We start from the raw sequence: 25,413 nt of genomic DNA on the forward strand, positions 1-25,413 counted from the left end.
CCTCTTACTAGCTCTGAGTCCTTAGGTTAATTTGCCCCTGGAAACCCCCCAATTTCCTTTGATCTGAAACAGTAATAGTTATTGGGGGAACCTGCCCCCAATAGTCACGTAGGTTCTTTTCTATTTTCCCTAAGTGTCGGCCAGTCTGAGAAATAAAGGGACAGAGTACAAAAGAGAGAAATTTTAAAGCTGGGTGTCCGGGGGAGACATCACATGTCGGCAGGTTCCGTGATGCCCCGTGAGCCATAAAACCAGTAAGTTTTTATTAGTGATTTCAAAAGGGGAGGGAGTGTATGAATAGGGTGTGGGTCACAGAGATCACGTGCTTCACAAGGTAGTAGAATATCACAAGGTAAATGGAGGCAGGGCGAGATCACAGGACCACAGGACCAGGGCGAAATTAAAATTGCTAATGAAGTTTCGGGCATGCATTGTCATTGATAACATCTTATCAGGAGACAGGGTTTGAGAGCAGACAACCGGTCTGACCAAAATTTATTAGGTGGGAATTTCCTTGTCCTAATAAGCCTGGGAGCGCTACGGGAGACTGGGGCTTATTTCATCCCTACAGCTTCGACCATAAAAGAAGGCTGCCCCCTGAAGTGGCCATTTCAGAGGCCTACCCTCAGGGATGCATTCTCTTTCTCAGGGATGTTCCTTGCTGAGAAAAAGAATTCAGTGATATTTCTCCAATTTCCTTTTGAAAGAAGAGAAATATGGCTGTGTTCCGCCCAGCTCACCAGCAGTAAGAGTTCAAGGTTATCTCTCTTGTTCCCTAAACATTGCTGTTATCCTGTTCTTTTTTCAAGGTGCCCACATTTCATATTGTTCAAACACACATGCTCTACAAACAATTTGTGCAGTTAATGCAATCATCACAGGGTCCTGAGGCGACATACATCCTCCTCAGTTTAAGAAGATGACGGGATTAAGAGATTAAAGACAGGCATAGGAAATCACAAGGGTATTGATTGGGGAAGTGATAAGTGTCCATGAAATCTTAACAATTTATGTTCAGAGTAAAGACAGTAAAGACAGGCATAAGAAATTATAAACGTATTAATTTGGGGAACTAATAAATGTCCATGAAATCTTCACAATTTATTTTCTTCTGCCATGGCTTCAGCCAGTCCCTCCATTTGGGGTTCCTGACTTCCTGCAACAAATAGTTGCTATCTTTTTGTTGTGGGGATTAAAATAAATTATGCATATAAAATAGTTAGCATAGTGCCTGGCAGGTAGTCTGTTCAATGAATATTTGCTAATACTAATAGTATTTTTTTGACATGAGTTAAATTAAAAGGAATATTCATTTGTACTGAATCCTAGAACCTAGTGAATAGGAATTATGCATAACTCCAAACTTCTGAAAGAGTCATACTTAAAGATAATAATGCTTTTCAGTTCTGCCCATAGTAGTTATCCTCAAATGTCATCCCACACCAGTGCCCAGGTGACTTTTCAGAGAATGACTAGATGAGTATTTATGGTAAATTTTGGAGAACAAGGTCAGGCAAGAAGTGTGCAATAAGAATTCCTCATATTGGACCTCAACTTTACTTTTCAAAATGCTTTTACATGAGAGAAAGGTGAGCCCAAGGAACCAGAAAGATGGAGAGAGTGATAACAGAGAACTTGAAAAAATGAAATGGGTTTGTAATGGAAGAAACAAAATACTAGAAAAATATCGACAGAGACATTTTAGTTTCAAAGGGCATAAACTTGGAGGGCATGAACTCAACTATATACACCTGGTAATGGATTTGATATGAACTGATGAATGCCATAAGAAAGCAGGGAAGTATGAGGGCTCAGAAATGAGTTTATAAGGCATTAATGGTGAGGCAGAGGAAGCACCAGAAAAGAGAGGGAAGGACTTGCAGCTGTGTAGAAATCCAAGCGGCTGAGAGCCCTCCCTGTCTTAGCCTGCTGCAGGTAGCTCCTGTTCATCTTGGGGGCTGAAGCAGAAACTACAGGTCTGAGCAGGTGGGTCAGCCTGAAAAGCTCACACGCTAAAGCAGGTCTGGGAGGCCAAGGTTGGCAAAGGTCCAGAGTCCAGAAGGTCAGGTCATTTGAGCAAGTGATACCAGTAAGCTAAACAGACTGGGAAGCCTGGTCTTCCAGCAGGCATACTATGTCTCTGACTTATCTGCTTCCTACTGGATATGGACAGCTCTGGTATTCCAGTATATAATTGCTTCTGAGAGAGAGAATGGCCTTCAGATGTCCCATCTATCATGATGGGACAGAATAGAACTGCTGGGATTAGCAAGATACTCTTCCACTAAAGCTAAAGCTATCCAAGTCTCTGATAACATCAGGAAGGAAAGAAAGGAGAAAAGGGGGAGAAGTGTTTTACTTGGATCATTGATCACTTTTCCTAGAATTGAAGCAAGGTTGAGGGTTTCAGTAAGAATTGGTGATAAGAAATCAAACAGTGAGGTAAGCAGGTTTTAATTTATCTAAGGTGTCATGCTTGGTACTTTAGATTTGTTATACAACTCTATCAAAACAATTTTTCTCCACATTATAGATGTGGAAAATGAAGATTCAAGGGTAAGTAAATTACCTTAGTTCTCCCAACTAAATAAATAGCAGAGTCAGGGTTTTAACACCAACAACTCTGTCTGACTGCGAAGCCTAGGGTTTCCCCGCCACTCCAGACCTACAGAGATGAAAAAGGTGCGTCTCTTTTATCCAGGACTGGGATTAGTGGCTCCTCTTGAATAATAAAAAGAACACAAGACTGGATGTCAAAAACCATGATCCCACTAGTGCATGTAAGCCACCTCTGGATTTAGATTTCTCATCTCCTTCCATCGTGGCCTATCTCTCACAGTTACAAGAATCTGGTAATGGGCTGGGTGCGGTGGCTCATGCCTGTAATCTCAGCACTTTGGAAGGCTGAGGTGGGTGGATTATTTGAAGTCAGGAGTTCAAGACCAGCCTGGACAACATGGTGAAACCCCATCTCTACTGAAAATACAAAAATTAGCTGAACGTGGTGGTGTGTGCCTGTAATCCTGGCTTACTTGGGAGGCTAAGGCAGGAGGATTGCTTGAACCTGGGAGGCGGAGGCTGCTGTGAGTGGAGATCACACCATTGCACTCCAGCCTGGGCAACAGAGCGAGACTCTGCCTCCAACAACAACAAAAATAATCTAGTAATGATTTGATTTTTTTTTTTTCCCCCAAATGAGAAGGTGCTTTGGTGGAGCTAAACATGAGCCTGCTGAGCATGAGGCTGTCCATTCCCAATAAGAGGAGCAATGCAGGGCATGATGAAAAAAGTGTGTGCTTGCCCACCAGGCAGCAGGAACAGCTCCTTTCCTCTGAGGGCTAGAAAGGAAAGTCAGCCTATGGATGCAGTGGAATGGGCGTGTTTCAGGCAAGGACTCCATAAGTAACTTTGAAGTGATACTGAGTATGAATCATCCTCTCTGAACTGCGTCACAGAATTACCCACTGTCGGGAAACTTAAAGATAGTTTCAGTGTTTAAAAATTCTCAGGAAATTCTTTCAAATGTTCAACCCAAATTTCTCATGTTGCAATATAAGCCTATGTCATCTTCCTCGGGGATGATGAAAAAGATATGGTTGCCATTCTCAAGTTTAGTAATCTTTTAGATTCTAGGTCTCTGTTAGTAGAGCACATTTTAAAAAATGACTGCATGGACCTTAGCTTCTCCAAGGCTGACTCATCTACTTGAAATCCTTAAAGGCAGCTTATTAATTATTGAGAGATGGAAACTGACAGATAGGCTGAGTAGTGTCTGTTTAGTCAGTATTCACAGAAATCAATGAAACTTTTTTCTGATATACTTTAAAAATTAATGCTTTATGCTAAAATCTTTTGCTACTGTCAACTGAAATTTGAACTTAACAAATTTTCTCCCTGACTTGATTGTTTTATTAAATTGCTCCTGTTGCCAGTGTGACCCAGAGGGCCCAGTTTCCTATTTTCCCAGCTAATACGTGATACATACTGCAATGATTTAACAGATCTCATCAAAACACATGTATGTTGACTCTGCCTTTTCAGTCTGAATTTAAACTTCTCAATCTCAAACATAGACCCTCTTTAGCAATGCTGCTTCACATCAAAGAATTAATTTCCACTTCCAAATATGTCTGAAAATAGCAGAGACCAGTGCAGGGTAACTTTCCACTGATCGTATTTGAATTCTAATCATTTATGTATAAAACTGGCATGTCTCCAATTGGAGATCCATTTTGGAATTGAATTTACCTTGCAAGGGAATTGACAAGTGGTTTTGCTGCTTTTATCATTCATTTGTTAATACAGGTGAATGTGTTAATGCCCCTTTCTCCTACCCACTTAGGTCACCCTAAAGTTCTAGCATATGCTGGGAAGTCTAGGATGCACAGGGAGGAAAGGAGACAGGACTCATTTCTCACAAATTCCTTCGTGGCAGCATCTTACTCATATGTGTGAGTTAAGAATTGCATTTGTTTGGGAGCAATGTAGACTCCAAAAATAAAAATAAAACCTGTACAAATTAGAGCATTTATTTTTCTTCCATGTAGAAAACGAGTCTGGTCAGTCCACGCCTTGTGTGGCATTCCATGATGTCATCAGGAACCCAGCCTCTTTCTATGTTTCTACTCTACCATCTTTAACACGTGACTTCCATTCATTATATCCCTGGTCCAGCAAGAAGTAGGAAAAATGGGAGTGGACAAAGAAGTTCATCCCTTTTAAAGACGCTTTCTCAAATGTCTCATCTAACAACTTGTACTGATGGTGTTATTGGCCAGAACTTAATCCCATGACCATACCTAATTGCAAAGAATACTGAGAAATGGTCTTTGAGTTTCGTACATACATGAAAGTGTCTATTAAGGTTAGGGAGTTCTGTTATCGAAAAAGGAGGAGAGAATGGATATTGGTTAGAAAACTGGCAGCCTCTACCACACTATGATATCCTACTTCAAATATAGCAAACCTAAAACAAAAATAAAAGAAACAAGAAATGTAAATTTCTGCATCCTCAGGGCTTCTGTTCCCTTTTTTGTTCAAAGGTATCTAGTAACGTATTTCCTGATGCCTCAGAAAATCAAAGAGGCAGGAAGCATGTGTTCTTTAAATAGTTTTTCTTACCAAAATTTCCCCTGTTCCTTACCAACTGAGTTTCCCTAGTCTTTTGTTGGAAATCTGTAAGATTAAGGCAATGTGCTGTACCCTACTTTCATTTTCTTTAGCTGAACCCTGAGACTGGTTTGAGATAAGCCCCTAGCTTTAAACTTTCTCTTTGCCTTTTATCGGTGACTGCCTTATGTGCATTGCCCTTCATCAGTGTATTTTAAGGTAATGAGCCTTATTTTTGAAATCCCTGCTGATTCAGAAATAGTTGCTGGAGGGAGGAAGAGAAGTTGGGAAAACTTAGGAATAAATATTGAAATCTCCCAGGGAGCACATCATTTCTAGCAGAGGGCTCTAGATGGTTTATTTTTGTAAATTGCTGGGGGAACCAAGCTCCTCTTCTTGTTTATTGTTATCGAGGGCTGGCCAGTTGCCTTGTACTACATAGCACTGCATTGAACAAGGTAGACTTGTCTTTGCCTTTGAGAGGACACCACCATCAACCAAACTGGGATGGTTTTTATTAACAAAGGTGTTAAGAACTGTGAAGAGTCAGAGATTTTATCCCACTTGTAAGCTAATGAGTTAGCCTGCCCCAGTTTCACGGATGCTAGTGGAGTATACAAGACACAGAGAAATAAAGGACAATTTATTATGTAGCAGTAGCCAGAATATTAGCATCTTTGCATCAGTTTCCTGAGCCCCAGTTCCTGTGGGGAGACATGAAAAGCTCTATGTGCCTCTTGCACACATAGGAAGTTGCTTTCAAGAGAGGAACCCTAAGCTTAGGAAACCCAAATCTCTTATAATGGCCAGTAAGCATGCCTGTCCTTTGCTTTGGATGCAACACTGTGTTTGTTGTCCACAAACATCCTTGAAAAGATAGTCTGGAATAAAAGCAGTCAGTGCTTTTGCTCTCAAGGCATGCAGAAATTTGAGAGACGCATGGAAAGTTGTCTCCCAAAAAGGGTGTGCTCGTGATTTTGCCTGGGCTTTAGAACACTGAATTTAAATTGGGTTCTTTGTATTTAGTTTACCTGGGATCATTTCATTCTGTTCTTCCGAACCAAAGACAACCCCTCATCCTGATAAGTTACTCAACAAATGCAAAATGTTGCCAAGTAGACTGGTAAGAAAACATAGCTGGTTTAATATAAAAAAGGTAAATCTCTTCCAGGAAAACTATCTTTGTAAGGATCAAGAGCCTTAAAAATGTCTCTATGCTTTGACTTGGTAATTTTACTTCTGGGAATCAAGTCTAAGACATTACCAGTTTTTAAAAGTACATATGTGCACATTGTTCAGTATAATAAAGTATGGTATATTTCCGTGATGAATTGCTATGTATGTGTTAAAAATGAGGTTTCTTTTTTCTAATATTAATGCTATGAGGAAATAAATGTCTGTTGTGTAGTAATTGACCAAAAGTAGAATCAAATTTTGGGGATAAGTTAATATATTTGGAAGATTTATACATCAAATTATAAACAGTGGTTGTAACATTGGTTGGTGAGTTCTCAGTTATTCTCACTTTCTTTAAACTTCTTCTTGAATTATACTAGTAAATATTGGTAATTGGGGGGAGATGTGTTCTTTTTTCTTGTGTTAGTTGCACAAGATAGTTGTGCACAAGTTGGTGGAAGATAGGTGGTAGTATCATTCCGAAAGCACACTACAGTACCCAGTTTTGAAAGTTCATTAATAGATAGCGTAAATAGGAGTGCCTCATTAACATTCCAGCCAGCTTCCACTCTGTGCCTGCAGTAACCTGTGTGCCTGCAACTTCCTAAAAACAGAAAACGCTGAAGGTACCATTTGCCCCTAGCCAGTTACTGTTATCCATTTTCACACTGCTATAAAGAATTGCCAGAGATTGGGTAATTTATAAAGGAAAGAAGTTTAATTGACTCACAGTATCACATGGCTGGGGAGGCCTCAGGAAATACAGTCATGGGGGAAGGCGAAGGAGAAGCAAGTGTCTTCTTCACAAGGCAGCAGGAAAGGGAGAGAGCAGGGGCAACTGCCACTTATAAAACCATCAGTTTTCATGAGAACACACTGACTATCATGAGAACAGCATGGGGGAAACTGCCCCCATGATCCAATCACCTCCCACCATGTCCCTCCCCCGACACTGGAGATTATCATTCGAGATGAAATTTGGGTGGGGACACAAAGCCAAACCATATCACTAGTCTTATGAGATTGATTGTCATATCCTCTGAATCTAGAGGATGTAGAAAGGAGGAAACCAGTATTTTTGTTCATTGAGTATCTTCTGTATACTGGTATTTTATTTAATGTTCATAAAACCCAAAATGTGAGATCTAAATCTATTTTCCCCATTTTACAAATGAGGGCATTTAAATTGAAAGATTAAGTACCAGTCCAGAGTCACTTAGCTGGTACTTGCCAGTGTCTAGATTTCAGCCCGAGTATCCAGACACCAAAATCTCTGCCCTCTCCAGTGTTACCCGTAAACAAGTTTTGAAGTTGTAGTATTTTATTTTATTTTTTTGAGATGGAGTCTTGCTCTGTTGCCAGGCTGCAGTGCAGTGCCGCAATCTCGTCTCACTGCAACCTCCGCCTCTCAGGTTCAAGTGATTCTCCTGCCTCAGCCTCCCAAGTAGCTGGGATTACAGGTTCATGTCACCACTCTCGGCTAATTTTTGTATTTTTAGTAGAGATGGGGTTTCACCATGTTGGCCAGAATGGTCTCTATCTCTTGACCTCGTGATCTGCCCACCTTGGCCTCCCAAAGTGCTGGGATTACAGGCAAAGTTGTAGTTTTTGATTAACTATTGGAAAGCACATTTTGGCTCGTAAGTGTACATTTAAAGCACGTTTTTGAACTTGTGTAAGCAAATAAATTAGGAAGTAGGATCAAAGCAGGGTAGGTGCCTATAAATGAAGGCTTATCTAACCAGGTACATTTCTCAGCATTGAGACACTCACTCAGTCTTGGTTTTGCTTGTGTCTTCTTAATATTCAGATTATAATCCATATCCAGTCAAATATGTTGGAAAACCTGATAAAGACTCTAAAAAATGCTGCAGAAGGAAATTTATCAAAATTTGTGAAAAGACATGTGTTCTCGGAGGAAGTGGTGAGTATGCAAGTGCTGCAGAAATCATTTAAAAGTGAAAGGACACTCTTAAAAATGTCCACTAATTTCTCAATTCTAAAGCTTACCTTAAAGAAATTGCCAAATATGGCAGCTTCTCTGTTGTTCCTGTTTTAAGACTTCCATGTATATGTGCAAAGATTTTTTTTTCTTCCAACAGAATATATCCTCTGAAATTCTAGGAAACTTTTCCCTTTTACCTTATTCTTTTCTCCACATTGTATTCATGGGCCCTGGCTCTCTTTTTCTTCTAGATGACGATTTTACACCTTTTTCCTTTTCCCTCAAGCCTTCAATACCTTCTCCTCACTTTTCACTCTCAGTTGATCACTGTATTTCTTGTTTCTTGGAGAAAATAGAAGTAATCAGAAAAGCATGACTGCTACATAGAGAGCCTCTGGCCCCTTGCCCTATATACCCATGATGACTGGATACATCTCTCACACCAGCCTCTTCAGTCATGCACTGGATCCCATCCTCTCTGACCCACTCCACAGCATCAGTCCAGAAGTTGACTCACTCTTTTGGCTATCATCAGTATCCCCTTCCCTGTGGGTCATTCTTGTCAGCAAACAGTAGGATATAGTATCTCTCATCTTAAAAAATAAAAAGAATCTTCTGTACAAATGAAAAGACAGACCATATGTTTAGATAAGAAGACCTAGCCTCATAAAAACTCAGTTTTTTTCAAGTTACTGTGATAATGTAATATGACTCCAATAAAAATATCACTTTGTTTTTTCTGTAAAGGTTAGTTGAAAGAACAAACAAGACTAGCTAGAAAAACCCTGTGAAAGAGGGGCAGTAAGAGTTGCTAGGTCTAGCAGATATCAAAGCATGTTAAAGTTTCTATAATTCAAACTGTGGCTTAGGACATGAATAGGGCAGCTAATGGGACAGAATAGAAAGTCCGGATACAGACCAAATTGCAGATACAAATTTAGTGTAACATAGAGACAAGCATCTCAAATCAATCTAAGTGGATAGACTAGTAAGAAGTAGTACTAGGATAAGTAGAGAGCCAATAGAAAAAGATACAGTTGTATATATTCTTATACCACAAACCAGGATACATTTCAAATGGATGAGAATTTAAATTTTTAAATTGAAATACACAAGTACTAGATATAAACATTAGTAGATTCTTTAATATCCTGGGAGTGGAAAAACTTAGCTTTCAGTCAAAATCCAAATCAGTAAAAGAAGTGATAAATTTGACTAAATAAAAATGTTAAAACCTGTTTTTTCATGTGGCAAAAAGTCTACAAGCAAAGTCAAGAGGTAAGTAATCAATTTTTAATCATACTGACAAAAGGCTAACTAGCCCTAATATTTCAAGAGCTCTTTTTGAGGCCAGGTGCGGTGGCTCATGCCTATAATCCCAGCACTTTGGGAGGCTGAGGCAGGCGGATCATGAGGTCAGGAGATCGAGACCATCCTGGCCAAAATGTAACCCCGTATCTACTAAAAATATAAAAATTAGCTGGGCGTGGTGGTGCATGCCTGTAGTCCCAGGTACTCAGGAGGCCGAGGCACGAGAATCGTTTGAACTAGGGAGTCGAGATTGCGCCACTGCGCTCCAGCCTGGCGACAGAATGAGACTCCATCTGAAAAAAAAAAAAAAAAAAAAAAAAAAGCTCTTTTTGAAAATTCTGAGAAAAGAACCAACAACCCTGAAGAAAAATGGGTAAGAGATGTGGACAGAATTTACTAAAAATGAATTGTGAATGGCCTTTAAACTTTCGAAAAGATTCTCTTGCCCATATCAAGAAAATGCTAAATAAAACTACCCTATGATATTTCTCTTGAATAGAAATCTGCAAGTTTGCCAGCCAACTTGGTTGGTGAGGCTCTGAGGAAATGGGCGCTATCATCTGAGGAAATGCTGCTACAGCGAATACAGATTGGTACACTACAAATACTTTCACCCTTTGACTCAATCCTCCCACTTCTTGGAGTATATTCTAAAAATATACTGGCAAATATAAAGAAGTTGTATGTACAAGGCTATTTGTTGCAATCCAATTTCTAATAACAGCAGACTGGAAAAAAGCCCAAATTTCCATCACTAGACAACTAGTTGTACAAATTAGGGTCTGTTCGTACAAAGGACAGGAAATGAGGAACAGCTACATCATATACTGCTATGGATTACCATTTATATGGATCACTTAAATATGTTTTTAAGTGACAAAAGTAAGATGCAAATGGGTATGTGTAGTATGCCTTAAGAAGGCGGGACCATATAGTTATTTTTATATATTTATGTTTTTGAAAAACACTACGATAAAAAAAACAAAACTTAAGTGGTTATGTTGATTTCTTTTTCAGATCTTTTTTTATAGAAATACTGCTGTTTTTGTATGTAAATTTTGTAACCTGCAGCTTTACTGACTTTATCAGTCCTAAAGGTTTTTTTGATTGAGTCTTTAGGAACCACAGTTAATTATTATGCATATTTCAAAAATGCCAAAGAAGTATATTTTAATGTTTCACCGCAGAAAAAGACACATTGGTAGATGATGGATAGTTTTGTTAGCTTGACTGAATCTTTCTACAGTATACACATAGATTGAAACATCACATTGAACTTTATAAATATACACAATTATTATTTGACAATTAAAGTAATTGACAAATTATTTTTTAAATTTAATTTTAAAAAATTAAGAAATAAAAGTTTTGAAAGTGAAAGTGAGGGACGGAAACATGAGTTCTCCGAATGTACCTTGTTTATGTATTTCATTTAGGAACCATGTAAATGCTTTGCAGAACTGTAAAGCAGAGTTAAATAAAAATGAAGAGAAAAAACAGTTCCTAAAAATTGAAAGTGAAATGAAACAAATGAACCCATGTGTCACATTGATGGCTTAAGTACACAAATTGGAATTCTTGTAGGTCATTTGAGATGTAGTAATTTGTGTATCTCTCATAGCATGTAACTTAAGGTGAAAAACAGAAGTGTAAAGAAATTGTACGTTATTGACAGTGATCATATTGTTAGTAATAATACTGATATTGTCATTTTGACCAACCAAGTGGCCTGTTGGTTGGTCCTCTCTTCCTCCCTCATTTCTCCTGCCTCTCTTTTATAGTTTGGTCCAGGCTGAAGGCTGAGACAGCAGGATTGGCACTAGAGGGCAGTGGCTGCTTCCTCCTCCTGCCACACTGTCGCCTTCCCAGCCCTGTTCCATTTCCTCACTTCCACCCAAAGGCTTCTTCCTTCTGATAAAAGGGAGCTTGTCAGGAAAATGACTAACTGGATATGGTTGATTTAACGCTTCTTTCTATTTGCAGTTTTAGCTCTGTGTAGGCTGTGATCCACCCAACCCTTTTGGAGTAAGTTTAGAAAAGTAGGGAAAGTAGAAGCATGAACAGATTTTAAAGTGCATAGTCACGTGTGTATGTGTACATGTGAAATCCAACTTCCATTTTCTCAGCAGCATTGTTGTTAACAACCATTCCTTAGACCTGAACCATCAATACATTGTCACCCATTTATATGGCTAAAGCACCCGAACAAACTTTATATTGAAAAATACTCATATAAGACTCTTGTACTTAGAAAATGAACCCTCTAGTTCAGTGTCTTCCCTCTGGTTACTGTGGGACCACTCAAGGAACAGCTTGATGAGAAATGGATTGATTCATATAACTCCAGTAGCTTTTGAGCTAGTTCTAAATATATATGTGTGAGATTGCAAGTGGAGTCCTATATTGTAAACGTCTGCATTTTACAAAGTGCATTTAATGCTTATGCCAGCAGTTATTTAAAAAGTGTTATGTAGGGAGATAAGACTATAAACTATCATAGGTGCTATTATACCACCACAGGACTATTGAAAATAATTGCTGATTTATTTCTGTAGTTATGTAACAGAACTGTTACAGTTTTTAGATCAAAATTACCTCCAGCTTGGCATGTTTGCTCTGCTGCTTTTAGAAGCCATATGCTGCACATTAAGTCATTTTCACCTTGAACATGAGGACTAAACAAGCTATTCTTTTTTAAGAACATTAAGAAGTGCTTAAGCTGCTTGTCTGCAGGCATGGTTGGGAGCCATTGTCTCAAAGGAAGATGTGCAGGTGCAAACAGTGTTATATATTTGGAAGAGGTGGAAGAGGGGCAAAGGATTTATTAGGAAGCTTGATCCCAATTAAATTCCATCAAGAAATGTGTTGAGATTGTACCCTTGATAAGGATTGAACTAAGTAAAATGCTGATTTTATTCAGAAAGCAGCTTCACATTCTCCATTCTAGTTCACCCATTTTGGGGGTTAAATACCATCATATACTTGTGACTCTACTACGTATGCCTCTAGCCCAGACCTCTCCTTCATGCCCCAGACTTGTATATCCAACAACGTTCTAGACATACCCATTTAGATGGTTCACAGCCGTCTCAATCAGGTCCAAACAGAGCTCTTGATTTTCCCTTCCAAATCTCGCCTCCCTGTCTTCTCTATCAGGAAATGATAGCACCCATCATCAAGCTATTAAAGCCCCAATTGAGAAGATAGCTTTGACACCTCCCTTTCCTTCACCCATTCAAAAATAAGTCCTTTCAGTGTAAACTCCAAAATATACCTCACATAAGTGTACTTCTCCTTCTTTTCTGTACCTTTCCCAATCTCAACTACCATTGTTTCTTATCTGGGCTATGGTGTGGGCCTCCAGAATAGTCTCCACATTTCTGTACACTCCAGTTCATTCTCTGCAACTTTTTGAACAGAAATGAGATCATTTCCCACTTTAGATGCTCTGATGGCTTTTTTAGAATAAATTTCAAAAAACTTATTGTGGAATATATATAAAGCCTATGTAATTTGGCCCTGCCTCCTCCTGCTCTAATCATTACATTGAACAAAGTTGATTCCACTGGTATATGACCTCCTTTACTTGGTGTGTTTCATTATATATGATGTGTTATTTGAACCCCCCTTTTTTTATATTAGGTATGATTTTCAAGTACTAATTTTGAATTTTGTGTGTAGCTTTTGGAATCCCTCATAGTAATACTGCTGTCTGTGTGCCCCAGTACCCTGGTTTTCACGATTTTAGGTGTATACCATACTTTTTTTTTTTTTTAAGACTCACTCTGTCGCCAAGGCTGGAGTACAGTGGCACGATCACAGCTCACTGCAGCCTCTGTCTCCTGGGCTTAAGTGATCCTCCCACTACACCAACTAATTTTTAAAAAAATTTTTTTACAGACAAAGTCTCACTGTGTTGCCTAGGCTGGCCTAGAAATCCTGTGCTCAAGCAGTCCTCCTGTCTCAGCGTCCAAAATTGCTTAGATTAAAGCATGGGCCACCTCGCCTGGCCTACCATACATTTTTGTTCATGTCCATTTCTTTTTCTTAGGGTTATAGTAAGAATAAGGAAGAAATCTTGCAGAGATGTAATGATGTGTTCTTGCTTTTTTCCAGCTGGCCAAAGTGAGGGAAAAAGTGAAGGATGTGCCTGCCCTTGTGGCCAAATTTGATGAGATCTATGGGACACTGCACATCACTGGCCAGGTCACCACTGATTCTTTGGATGCTGTGCTCTGCCACACCCCCAGGGACAGGAAATCTCACACGTTGCTATTAAACAAGAGGATGGTCAGCCGTCGCACCTTCCAGCCACTCAGCCAGTCCCTGTTGGCTGAGTAACCCTGGTTTCAGTCCACCTATGGATCTGAGGGGCCTGCTTCTAGTGAGTTATTACCTTTCCTAAGAAGCCAGGTATCGCACTTCAGCAGACAGTGTGCTGACACTTGGTCTTCTCCTGAAATTCCCAAATTCACTGAATGGTACCATGCCGATCTCTGAGAAGTTATGTTGCACCACTGTGAAGGTCTAGATGCAAGCTTGGCTCCCTCAGAAAGGCGCTTCCCTTTTGCATGGCTGAGGATCCTTGAAGGAACCTGGTCAGTCTCCGGTTCAGCTTCCGACACCAGAGTGGAACCCAGTAAGCACCATCAGGAATGAATTTCACTACAAGTGTGGATAACTCTGATTTTCAAAGGAGTAGTTACTTGCAAATTACATCCTTGCTGAATTCAGGAGGTATGAAACCCTATTTTACCATGTTAGAAAACAGCCCAGGATTTTCTCATTGCTCTGCCATCATATATGTCTATGACTTGAGCCCTTATTTTTCCATCTGCAAAACAATAATGCCTATGTGTCTTTGCATATAGATTTGAAATCTTCATTCAAGGTTTAGTAGGATCATATTTTCTCAAAAATAAGAGAAATAAGGTTCATAAGGAAACTTGCTGGGATTGTGGTTGTTTTGTTTTCTCAGCAGCACAAACAAAACCAGAATTTAGCCTTTAGGACTGCTGAGTAAGCCAAATTTAAATGACTACTGCTTTGTTCATGGGTAAGCCATGTGCTTTTCAAAATAAGTGCCACTAAAAACCACATAATGCTTTGGTTTCTATGTGGATAATAAATATTTAGTCCTATAGTTTATCTTATTTGTTAATGATTTTTCTCTCTTGAATGCCTCATATTAAAAAAAAATGTGCCATGAGAGCAGTTCAAAGCTGCTTCATACTTATGGTCTCAAATATAGTATGTGTTGAATTTTACCGTGTCTGGTCACCAGTGAGCAGAAGATACACAGTGACCCCACCTCACTTGCTCCTTTTGTTTCAGAAAGCCCAGAGGGTTGCTCAGACCTCAGGAGCTGTCTGCCAAGATTGCTGCAGACTCTTCATTGCCACCTCCAAAACTAAGACTGTTCACTTGGTTGTTGTTCTAAGGCAAGGATTATAGAGTCAGAAATTGTAGACTAGGAGAAGTCTTCTGAGTCTCCTAATTAATTCCTTCATCTTTCAGGTTAAGGAAACGATCCATGCAAGAGAGGCCCAATCTCAACTGTAGACTGTGTCCCAGTAAGAGAGTCACAGCTTCAGGTGTTTGCTGAATCCAGGTCTGAGATCACAATCCCACCTGAGGACAGGATCCGCATATGAGAGTCGCACATTGGTATAATTGATTTGTGGTAGAGCTGAGATTAGAATCCAGATTCCTAGTCTAGTATCCTTCCCACTGTACCACATTATCTCTTTTCAGAGGGGAAAAAGGAGCAGCTCTTAAGAAACAGAATACTAAGGGCCCCCATTACTGTGTGGCCCTGGGCATCCTCAGTTTCCTCATTTGGTAAATGGGGATAATGGTACCGACCTCTTAGGCTTGGTGTGAGGATGAAATGAGATAGGGAATATAAAGCAAGCAGATAGTGGCTGGCACATAGTACATGCAATATGTTTGAAACTAGTTAAGGAATTATAAAAACAAATGAGTTCTTCCTTCTGCTCAAAAATATTGAATTTCTTGTCCTTGTGCTCTGTGAAACATTGAACAGCCCCATTTAGAGAAACAAATTCTCTGCCCTCATAGAATCCTAATTGTTTCTGTATGTGTCTGGTGTTTTGCACATGCAAAAAAAAAAAAAAAAGTGCTTGGATTTCTCCACTTTCAGTCTTAGGGAATAATAGGGCATGCTTCCTGTCCCCCCAGCTTACTTTTCATCTTCTCCAACTCTCACAGTTCAAATGGCTCCAGTGCTGTGGGTGAGTGTGGCCTTGGTTGTTAGCTAACAACCATTCATTAGCGAAATAACCAAATTTTGTGAGCAGTAAATAGCAACAAGCTTCCCAATCCCTGCTGCCCAGCCGACTGGAAAAACTGGTCCATTCCACCTGTTCCCAGAAACCTCAGTACAGAGGTAGCTATATGCATAATGTTCACCCCAAAGTAATAGATGATTTTAAAGTCTTAAAAGTCCAATAAAACAGTGTTCAGTATAGGTTATGATAGGCATTTCATTCTTTAAAACTCAGTAATTCCTTTGAAAAAATGATGTTTCTTTATAAGCAGTAGTTTGCCTACATCATTTACTTGTTTTTTTCTGCTTTGGGGTTTTTTTTTTTTTGAGACACAATTTCACTCTGTCGCCCAGGCTGGAGTGCAGTGGTGTGATCTCAGCTCACTGCAACTTCTGCCTCCTGGGTTCAAGCAATTCTCATGCCCCAGCCTCCCAAGTAGCTGGGAATACAGTTGTGTGCCACCACACTGGCTTATTTTTTGTATTTTTTTAGTAGAGATGGGGTTTCACCATGTTGGCCAGGCTGGTCTCTAACTCTTATCCTCAAGTGATCTGCCTGCCTTGGCCTCCCAAAGTGCTGGGATTACAGGCATGAGCCACCGCACCTGGCCTACTTATCCTGTTAATGAAAATATTTGATTGGACAGAACATCTTATTCCTTAACTCTGTTATGTGCTTTTGTAGATTGTTTTTACTTACTGTAGATATCTGTTGCTCCAGAGTCCCAGAAATCAGTATGATGAGTTCAGCACAGTTACTAGAAGGAGACAAAAAGATATCTTCTTAATTAGGTGATATCAGGGATAGTTCTGGTTATTGATTGCTGTGTGGAAAACACTCCAAAACTCAGTGACTTTAAACAACACCAGTCATTGTGTTATTTCTCATTATCCTAAGTACTGACTGGGCTCAGCCAGACAGTTCTTATTCGGGTTCTCATGCAGTTATAGTCATCATCAGATTGTGGCCGCGACTGGCATAATCTCAAAGGCTTCCTTAGTATTTCTGGCAGTTGATGCTAGGACCTCAGCTAGTGCTGGGGCTGGAACATGTCTACACATAGCTTCCCCACAGCATGGTGGCTAGGTACTAGGAGTGACTGTCCCAAGAGGACCAGGCAGAAGCAGTTACATTTTATGACCTAGTCTCAGAAGTCTCATAACATCACTTCCACTAAAGTCCCAAGCCCCCCCAGATTCAAATGGAGGGAGCATATATCCCATCTCAGTGGTAGGAATTTCAAAGAATAAATTCTGTGAAACTGTAGTAGATAGTCTGTTTTCTCCCCTGTTTAAAACCTCCTGAGGACCTCACATGCTTCTGGATAAAGCTCAGGCTCTTCAACATGGTTTAGAAGGTCCTTCCTAATCTGGCCCACATTTGTCCATCCAGCTCCAACTCTTGCTACTCTACGCCCCTCTTCCCCTCTTGTGGAATGGCTAATTCCTACTCATCATTCAGGTCTTGGCTTAGACATCTTTTCATCTGAGAAGGCTTTCTGGTCTAGTCTCACCTGGTTAGGTGAACTCCCCATGTGCCCCATGTACCTCATTTATCAAAGTGCTTATCATATGCCTGTCACTGTCTGTTTTCTTCACTAGACTCAGGTGCCATGTCTGTCCTTTCTGCTCTGTTTGCTGGGTGCCTAGCATGGTAGGGGATGTATCAGAGGATTAGTACTTATTTAACTCACCAGCTCATTTAACTATATTGTATAACAATGTTGGTGGTCATATTGGTCCCCCATGGACAGCTTTTCGTCTCTAATACCATACACTCAGTGCAGGGTCTGAATGTCCCCCCAAACTCATATGTTGAACTCCAAATCCCCAAGGTGTTGGTATTAGATGATGTAGCCTTTGGGAAGGAATTAGGGTGGTGCCCTCATGAATGGGATTTGTGTCATTATAAAACAAGCCCAAAGAAATTTGGTCACCCCTTCCTTTAAGCGAGGTCATGGCAAAAAGACGCTGTCTATGAACCAGAAAATGGGCTCTCACTAGACACCAAATGCTGGTGTCTTGTTCTTGGATTTCCCAGCCTTCAGAACTGTGAGAAATATATTTCTGTTATTTATAAGCCACCCAGTTTTTGGTATTTTGTTATAGCAGCCTGAAGAGACTAAGACAGCCAGTCCCAACCTTCCACATTTAGACCTGACTCCAAGTTTTGCTCAGCCCACTGTGTATCCCTTCCTCCTCCCAACCAAAGTGTCCCCACTCTTTCTCTATTCTGTTCTGCCTATTATTCAAGGTCTAACTTGTGTCACTTTTTCAATGAGGCATTTGCAAGCTCTTTAAATTCTCAAGGATTCTCCATTAATTCACCATATCTATTTTGAGAATCTACAAAGGACAAGGCACTACGAAAGACTCTACATGCCACAGGGAAAAGACAGACAAGATCTCTGTCCCAACACAGAAAATTTTAGCCTGCCATGTTGACTCCCAGGGATCTTTTTGTTTCTGTAGGAGGTGCTCATTACAGAGTGGCCAAATTCCTACTGAAGAATGGACTTGGTTGTGAAATAAAACAATCCTGGGCAATATTTGTTGATAGTTTTGTTGAGGATGATTCAGGAAATAAATACAAACTTTTAACTACTCATAATGAATATTGTTGGGATATTATAATGAGGAGGTAAGGATTTACCTGCTACAATTTGGGTAGGCAAAAATGTAGGCTTCTCTGTTTCTTTGCAGTGAACTAAAACTTCTTATGAACTCTGGTTATACTGAAAACAGGAGTCATGGGAGACTTGATCTTGCTTAAAGGATATTTTAGTCTTTGATTTCTTTGAGGTAAATGTTCAATCTTTTTGCGTATCTTCCTCCTACCTTTTCATAGCCAAGATGACAGCTGAACAGGCTCTCATCTTAAACCTGAACAGGCATCAGAATCACTTGGAGAGCTTGTTAAAATACAGATTGATGGGCCCCACCCCCAGAATATCTGATTCCATACATATGAGTCAGGGCCCAAGAATTTGCATTACAAATGCATTCTCAGATGATGCCTTTGCTAGTCTGGGCAACACACTTTAAGAATAGTTGGTATAACAGAAAGCTTGTGTGTCTTGTGTGTCTATGTGGACAGGAGTTGTGGGCTTCAGATTCATCCTCTGTGTCCTCTGGTCTCAGTTGTGAGGAGGGGGAAGAGTGGGAAGTCTGGCCTTGTCTCTGGACTCCTGAGTAAATAATGTGCTGATGCAGTGTTGGGCCCAGCAGGCCTTTTAGAGGGTCATGCCAGCACCCACTGCTGAGGTCTGTAGTCTCTACCATCTGCCCTACACATAATAAGTACCCTTCCTCTGCTATTCTCTCTTGCTGACCCCAAGCCCACCAATGAATTAATTGAATCAAGAGTTCCAAGGCATTAGGTTAAAGACATTGAAAAATATATCCATTTATTTTTTCAAATATACATAAAGAAATCCATACAAACTAAGGCCAATTGTGGCAAAACTACATGAGACTTGACTAAAATAACCCACAATTCAAATTTCCTTCATAACATTTCTACCTATAAATTTGATTCAGAGAAATTACACTTCATAGATAAACTAGCCATAAAAAAGATTACAGCGGCAAAAGCTATCATCAGTAATATTTGATATGCATAAGAAACCGTGAGGAACCAAATCATGGTAAAATTGATTCTAAGGAAATGGTTGCACAAAAATAAAAGTGAAATGGTATTTTTTAAAAGGAAGTGGTTCAACTGTATTGCATAGAAAATGAATCAAGGAATTACATTGGCTTAAATGGCATTAGCTCAAAAAAGTGTTCTCAAAAATTAATGGAAATTGGTGTATTCTGATTGAGATATGTTTTATTCAATAACATGGAGTCAAAACAAGAAGATTTTTTAAATGTCCTCTGTTCCCATGGAGCTTGCATTCTGCAAGAGCAACAGACATCAAAAAGATAACTGGGCAAATGACCACATGATTGCAGTTGGGATAAGTGCTAAGTCTAGGGTAATCTTCATATCACCCTGTGGCATGTATAAAGGAAGACCTTTTGCTGGTGTTTTGTAAAACCAGTTGTCTGTGTCATTTATTTTAACATGTAAAGTACACTGCCTTGTATTGTTACAGATCTTTTTCTCCATATCCGGTCTCTCCTGAAGAACAGAGTATTCTACATTTGTTTTATATGACCCCAAGGTGCTTATGTAGCATATTATTTATACATCTAATGAGGTCTTAATATTTTTTGAAAGAGTGATTTCATTAATTAACGGCAGATTTTAGTTAATATGTACAGTCTGCCACAATATACTTTAGGCATTTCACAGTTTTCTCATAAACTGGTTGCTGTTTCTGTCCCGGTTTTACACATGACAGAGCCAAGACACAGACAAGTAGAATGACTTGCCTGTGCGGGGGTCCTGGGTTGGCCAGTGCATTCATGTACTGGACCAGGGCCCCTGTATCTTGCAGTAATGTATCCGTGGGCGTTTCCCCCCAGACATTCGAAGCACACAGCTAATCTGAGAAAGAAGTGATTTGGCGAGGGGTTGGGGGAGTAGGCGGTGGGCACAACGGTTCCAGGTGACTTTCAAGTTGCTAATGAAAGAGGATCAAAGCGCTGCTGAACTGCTCACCTCCCCGCTTGGCCTGCCTTGCCCAGCTGACTTTCTTCCAAGGGCCTCAGAGGCAGCATTACCACAGGCATTAAAGATGGGGATGGGGAAAGAAGGCCCAGAGGGAAAGGGAACCACATGCTTACCTGCTAATCACTGCCCTGCAGCTGAAACACTGCAGAGCTGGCTGCTCTGGGATAGGAGAGGAAGGCCTCATTTAATCAGGAGAAGAAAGAGAACCAGGGGCCTCTGAGATGGCCTGCAAGGCATCACGGTCTGTGAACTGGTCTGTGAACTGCGGGCCTGCCTGGAAATGCATTGTCAGAGTAGAGTGATGCTTTCTTTGTAAATCCCTTGTCTTCCCTGATTCCTTTTTCCTGACTGAATCAGGCCAAGATGCTCACCCAGAAGAGCACAGCATCACCCTGTCTTTCAATCCCCAAAGTAGCCCTTACCCCTAGACAGCAACATCATCTGTTACAATTGACAGCATGAAGGAAGGCATAACCCCTGCAAAGTGACTGCCCTACAACTCAATTTGATTTTGAATCCGCAAGTGCAAGTCTCATTCCTGGTAACTAATAGTAACAGAATCTGCTGATGTATTCTACCGCATCCCAGGGAGACTCATGTAGCCATGAAGACTGAAGAGGATTAAGTTAACCTTCCATTTTATAGCTGCAAATTACTGGGTTGATGTCAGGTAGGGTGAGGAGTATGTTCCGGTTATAGCTGGTAGCAAGATGGCTGCATGCATCATGAGGCTTTGGCCTAAAAAGCTTGTCATTATATAAAAAAGCTATAGAGAGCAGAGAAAATGTCATTTCCAATTTAGAAGATCATAATCGATTTTTAACACATTGGTCCTTAGGTGATACAGAATTCAACAAAAACGGGGCTTATAAAAAGCCAGGGTTCATAAAATTACAAAGATTATAGACAAAAATAGATAACATATAAGACTTACCAGCTGGGCAAGGTAGCTCAAGTTTGTAATCCCAGCACTTAGGGAGGCCGAGGCAGGCAGATCACCTGAGGTCAGGGGTTCTAGACCAGCCTGGCCAGCATGGTGAAACCCCATCTCTACTAAAAATACAAAAAAATTAGCCAGGCGTGGTGGCGGGCATCTGTAATTTCAGCTACTCAGGAGGTTGAGACGGGAGAATTGCTTGAACCTGGGAGACGGAGGTTACAGTGAGCCTAGACTGCGCCATTGCACTCTAGCCTAGGCGACAAGAGCGAAACTATGTTTCAAATAATAATAATAATAATAAGACTTACCATTTGCCAGGTCCTGTGCAAAGCACTTTATCTCATTTGATCCCTGGGAAACCCCATAAAGTACTATTATGCCATTTCTCAGATAAAGAAACTGAAGCTCAGAGACGTTTAGTTGCTTGCCTGTGGATATAACACTAGAGAGCGGGAGAGCACAGTATTTGAACCCAGGAGGTCTGATGCTGGAGGTCATGTTTTTAACCTTATCTCTGTATTGCCTGCCCAAGTGCTGGCTGTGTGCATGTATTCTCAATAATCCCTGGCCAACTTCCTGCTTTGCTGTCAGTAGCAGAGCTGAAGAACTTACAATAGACGGCAGAGGGCGTCCAGAGTCACTATTTTTAAAAGGTGCTAGTTTTCAAAAGCATTTCTGGAATTCAGAGAGAACAGAGGTCCACATAGCAGGCTAGACAGGAAAGGTAGCTGTAGATAGACTTTAGGGAGTATATAGAATATTGCCTTCACGCAGGTTAAGAAATATTTAGTGTTGAAAGGATACTTTTAAAAGAGAGAAAGCAGTAAAGTTGATCCTCTGCAGAAAGTAGACCAATGTAAGTATCATGCAATGTGTCCATGTGCGTGTACACGTGAGCACACATGCACACACACATTAGATGTTTTGTGAGAAAACATACACTCAGTTTCTTATGAAAGAAAAAGGATGGTCATTTGTCTCACTTGGGAAAGGGTTTCCTCCCAAATTGAGAAGGAAAATCCCCCCAATTAACTGTTTGCCTTTATTAACTAAAATCACATTTGTGTGTGAAAGAAGTAAAAAGGAATTAGGATCTTGGTTATTTTGATTGTCTCTCTACCCTTCCAGATTCATCAAATGATAGTCAACCTTACTGTCTCTTCCTGCCATCATCAGGAATGACTAAATCTTGGAGCGTTCTCCATTTAAGTGAGGGAAATGTTGGATTCCCGGTGTATTTATCACTGCCCATCTCTAAGAATAGGTCAAAGATGAAATTCCCATTATCATGAAACTTTAATATATATTGAGACTTCACAGAGCACTAACTATACTGGGGCTGGGATGGGGATTCTGATGAGAGATATCCCTGACAGAGACCAGAGCTCAGGAGGAAGAAAGGACAGATGCCCTTGTTCAAGATGACTTCTTCATGGGCATCGATAGATACATTCTTGAAAACCACCCAAAGTACCTAGAGGAGACCCTAGTGCAACTGTGCATTGTACAACAACTGATGAGGTAAAAGAAACAAACTGTTAATGACTCTAAACAATGTGGCCCACAGAGTTGGTATGGTTTGGCCACACCAGCTCAGGGATAAAGGTACTAGAAAAAATCTTGGGGAAAATCCTATTGTACATATTCCTTACATAATGTCTGTGATTTACCTCACTTATCAAATGAAAAAAACCCAAAACACCTGGTTGATGGCCATTTGGTCAAACACCTCTAGGAGTCTGGAGTTGAGTGGCCAGAACTCAGTCTTTCTTTACATGCTGTGTTAAGCAGGCTTTTATCTCATTCAGGTGTTAGAAGTGGAGGGAGGAACACAGTTAGGCTGTGTTCTACTGCACTGCATAGGGAGGCAGGGTATCACCCAGGCACAACGCCCACTTTGCAAGTAAATAATCAGTAGCATGAAGCTCACTTCTGCAGGACCCACCATGACAAAGTGGAGAGCTGGGCGGTTAACCAGTGAACCAATTGAGTGGCTCTGGGCTCCTATACCCCTTTCATTCCACAGCCTGTGATACACCCTTAGAGTCAAAATATCAAATTCAGTGGGCCATGAGTCTTGCCCAAAAGTATAAATCTTTTTTTCATATGGACTATTTGGGTCTATTTTCAAAAATCCCTTTTTCTTCTCTAAACTATCTCAATTCCACATTTCACTTTGCAGGTGTAGACATGACTTTTAGGTTGTTGATGATTTAATGCTATTGAAATGTTCTTATATGCAAAACACCTAGATAGATGCAGAGTGTGGGACAAAGACAACCAGCACATTGCTAAGCCCAAGTAGCAAATTTCCTGACCCCATTTTAAAGGTTCTGAGACAGATAGGCGGAATAGGTCCCCCTGTCTTTGAGTAGAAGAGTTGGCAAGCAAGCTGGACTAAATGGGCCATGTGCAATTTTGCTGTCTGTTCACATTTCAAATAAACTAATGTGTTATGATTTTTTTTTCTCCTTGAATTTTACTTCCTCTTCTTTCTCTGTTCTTCTATTTTGTGTCTTCCCCATCATTTTGTTAATGCTTCTCCCTTTGAAAAAAAAATATTTTAGGTCCCTTTTTCAGGTTCTTTTGTGACAGAGCTTGGCTTCCTGTGTTCTCACTCTTTCACTCACTGACTCAGAGTAGAGGCTGCTTTACTGGAACTTAGGAGAAGCCAGAGGTTTGCTTTCAGTCCTGTTTTCTCCCAAGCCTAAAACTCTTATTTCAAGGGAGAAGATGTGTAGGCCAAGTTGAGAAAAGCAAGCAACAAGCCTAAAAATCATTTTCCTCACCAGCTGCCCTTGGGCTACATCCTGTAGAAAGGTGACAAGGACACTTGGAGCTGTCCATTTGCTCCCCAAATGTGTCTCCCAATGCCCAGCATCTTATGCAGCCTTTGACATGAGTAAAGTCCCTCAAGGTAAGCCATGGGAAAGATCAACCTACTACACAACCATCTTTTACTGCAACCCAAGGTACATTTTAACTTTCCCAGTTTATTTGAAGGAGAATATTAACAAATATCAGTTTTTTCCCCTGGAAAACATAGAGGAAAGATTAAAAACAGAAAAATGTTTGCCAATTCAGTATTTCCAGGCCTAATATTCAGATACCACCTAATAACAATGAACTTTAGATGTAGGTTTAAAGCCCAACTCTGGAACTACATGTCTCATCCTCTACTTACAGCTTAGAAGATGCTTACTACCACAAAATTAATTATATTATACTACTACTTTCATCTTTATTGTTTTAAGTTGAAGCAGCCAAACTGCATTTGTCTGCAGCAATTAGGGAAGGAATATTCATTTGTAAGTTAATCCCAGTAACTAGTTCTTAGAATTGACAAATGAATAGAAAATGCTCAATCAAACCTCTGGGTAAGAATTTGAAGATTGTTTCAAGTGAGATCAGGGAAAATTGTGCAGCTAATTAAGACAACCATGGGAAAAGAGTGAACCATGATGTTCATTATGACTCAGTTCATAATACTTCTAGGTAAAGTCCACACTATTTGGAAAGCACTGCAGCATTCCTGGTGTCAAAACCTCCAAAAGCACATTAGAAAAGTGAAAGATGTTGGTCCATGATGAGCTCATCTAGTTATTTTAGGATTTCTGTAGTCACCTATGTTTGGTATTAAATGATGATAACGAAAATGCCTTTCATTATTTATCCCTGGTTATCATGCTTTCCATTCAAAATAATAAATAGAAAAGAAAACCAACTAACAAATAGCTCATGGCTGGATTTGTTCCAGTCAGTTCCAATAGAACCACAAGTTGCTAAAGAAATTTACCCATTGACAATAACAACAGCACAGCAGCGAATCTTGAGCCTTTCTTTCACACTTCCCACTGTCACTCGCTGTAGGGGCTCAGATTTTGAGAAATTTAACCTGCATGCAAATGTGTGACAGTGCTTTCCTGGCAACCTGTCATTTAATAAAGAATAGGAAATGAAAGGCCTCACTATTGCCACAAGGTTCCTTTTATGCAAGTTTCCATAACTTAGGGAGATGCCTT

The 25,413-nt window shown here is 40.2% G+C and overlaps 1 protein-coding gene across 11 annotated transcripts in view; it reads left to right on the forward strand.

The window, feature by feature from the left end:
• The window catches only part of PTCD2 (pentatricopeptide repeat domain 2), a 48,023-nt gene extending 24,173 nt beyond the window's left edge, over positions 1–23,850 (forward strand). For 7 of the 11 annotated variants that reach the window (NM_024754.5, NM_001284405.2, NM_001284404.2 and 4 more), the window contains 2 exons: positions 8,096–8,209; positions 13,658–23,850. In NM_024754.5, the coding sequence (NP_079030.3) occupies positions 8,096–8,209; positions 13,658–13,882 (339 nt within the window). In that variant the 3' untranslated portion in view covers positions 13,883–23,850. The remainder of the gene's footprint in view (positions 1–8,095; positions 8,210–13,657) is intronic. The other 4 variants (XR_948298.3, XR_241790.6, XR_007058635.1 and 1 more) reach the window with 4 other exon arrangements.
• Positions 23,851–25,413: the final 1,563 nt, after the last annotated feature.

This window comes from Homo sapiens, chromosome 5 (genome assembly GCF_000001405.40).
Source record: "Homo sapiens chromosome 5, GRCh38.p14 Primary Assembly".
In the NCBI taxonomy this organism is placed as follows: domain Eukaryota; kingdom Metazoa; phylum Chordata; class Mammalia; order Primates; family Hominidae; genus Homo; species Homo sapiens.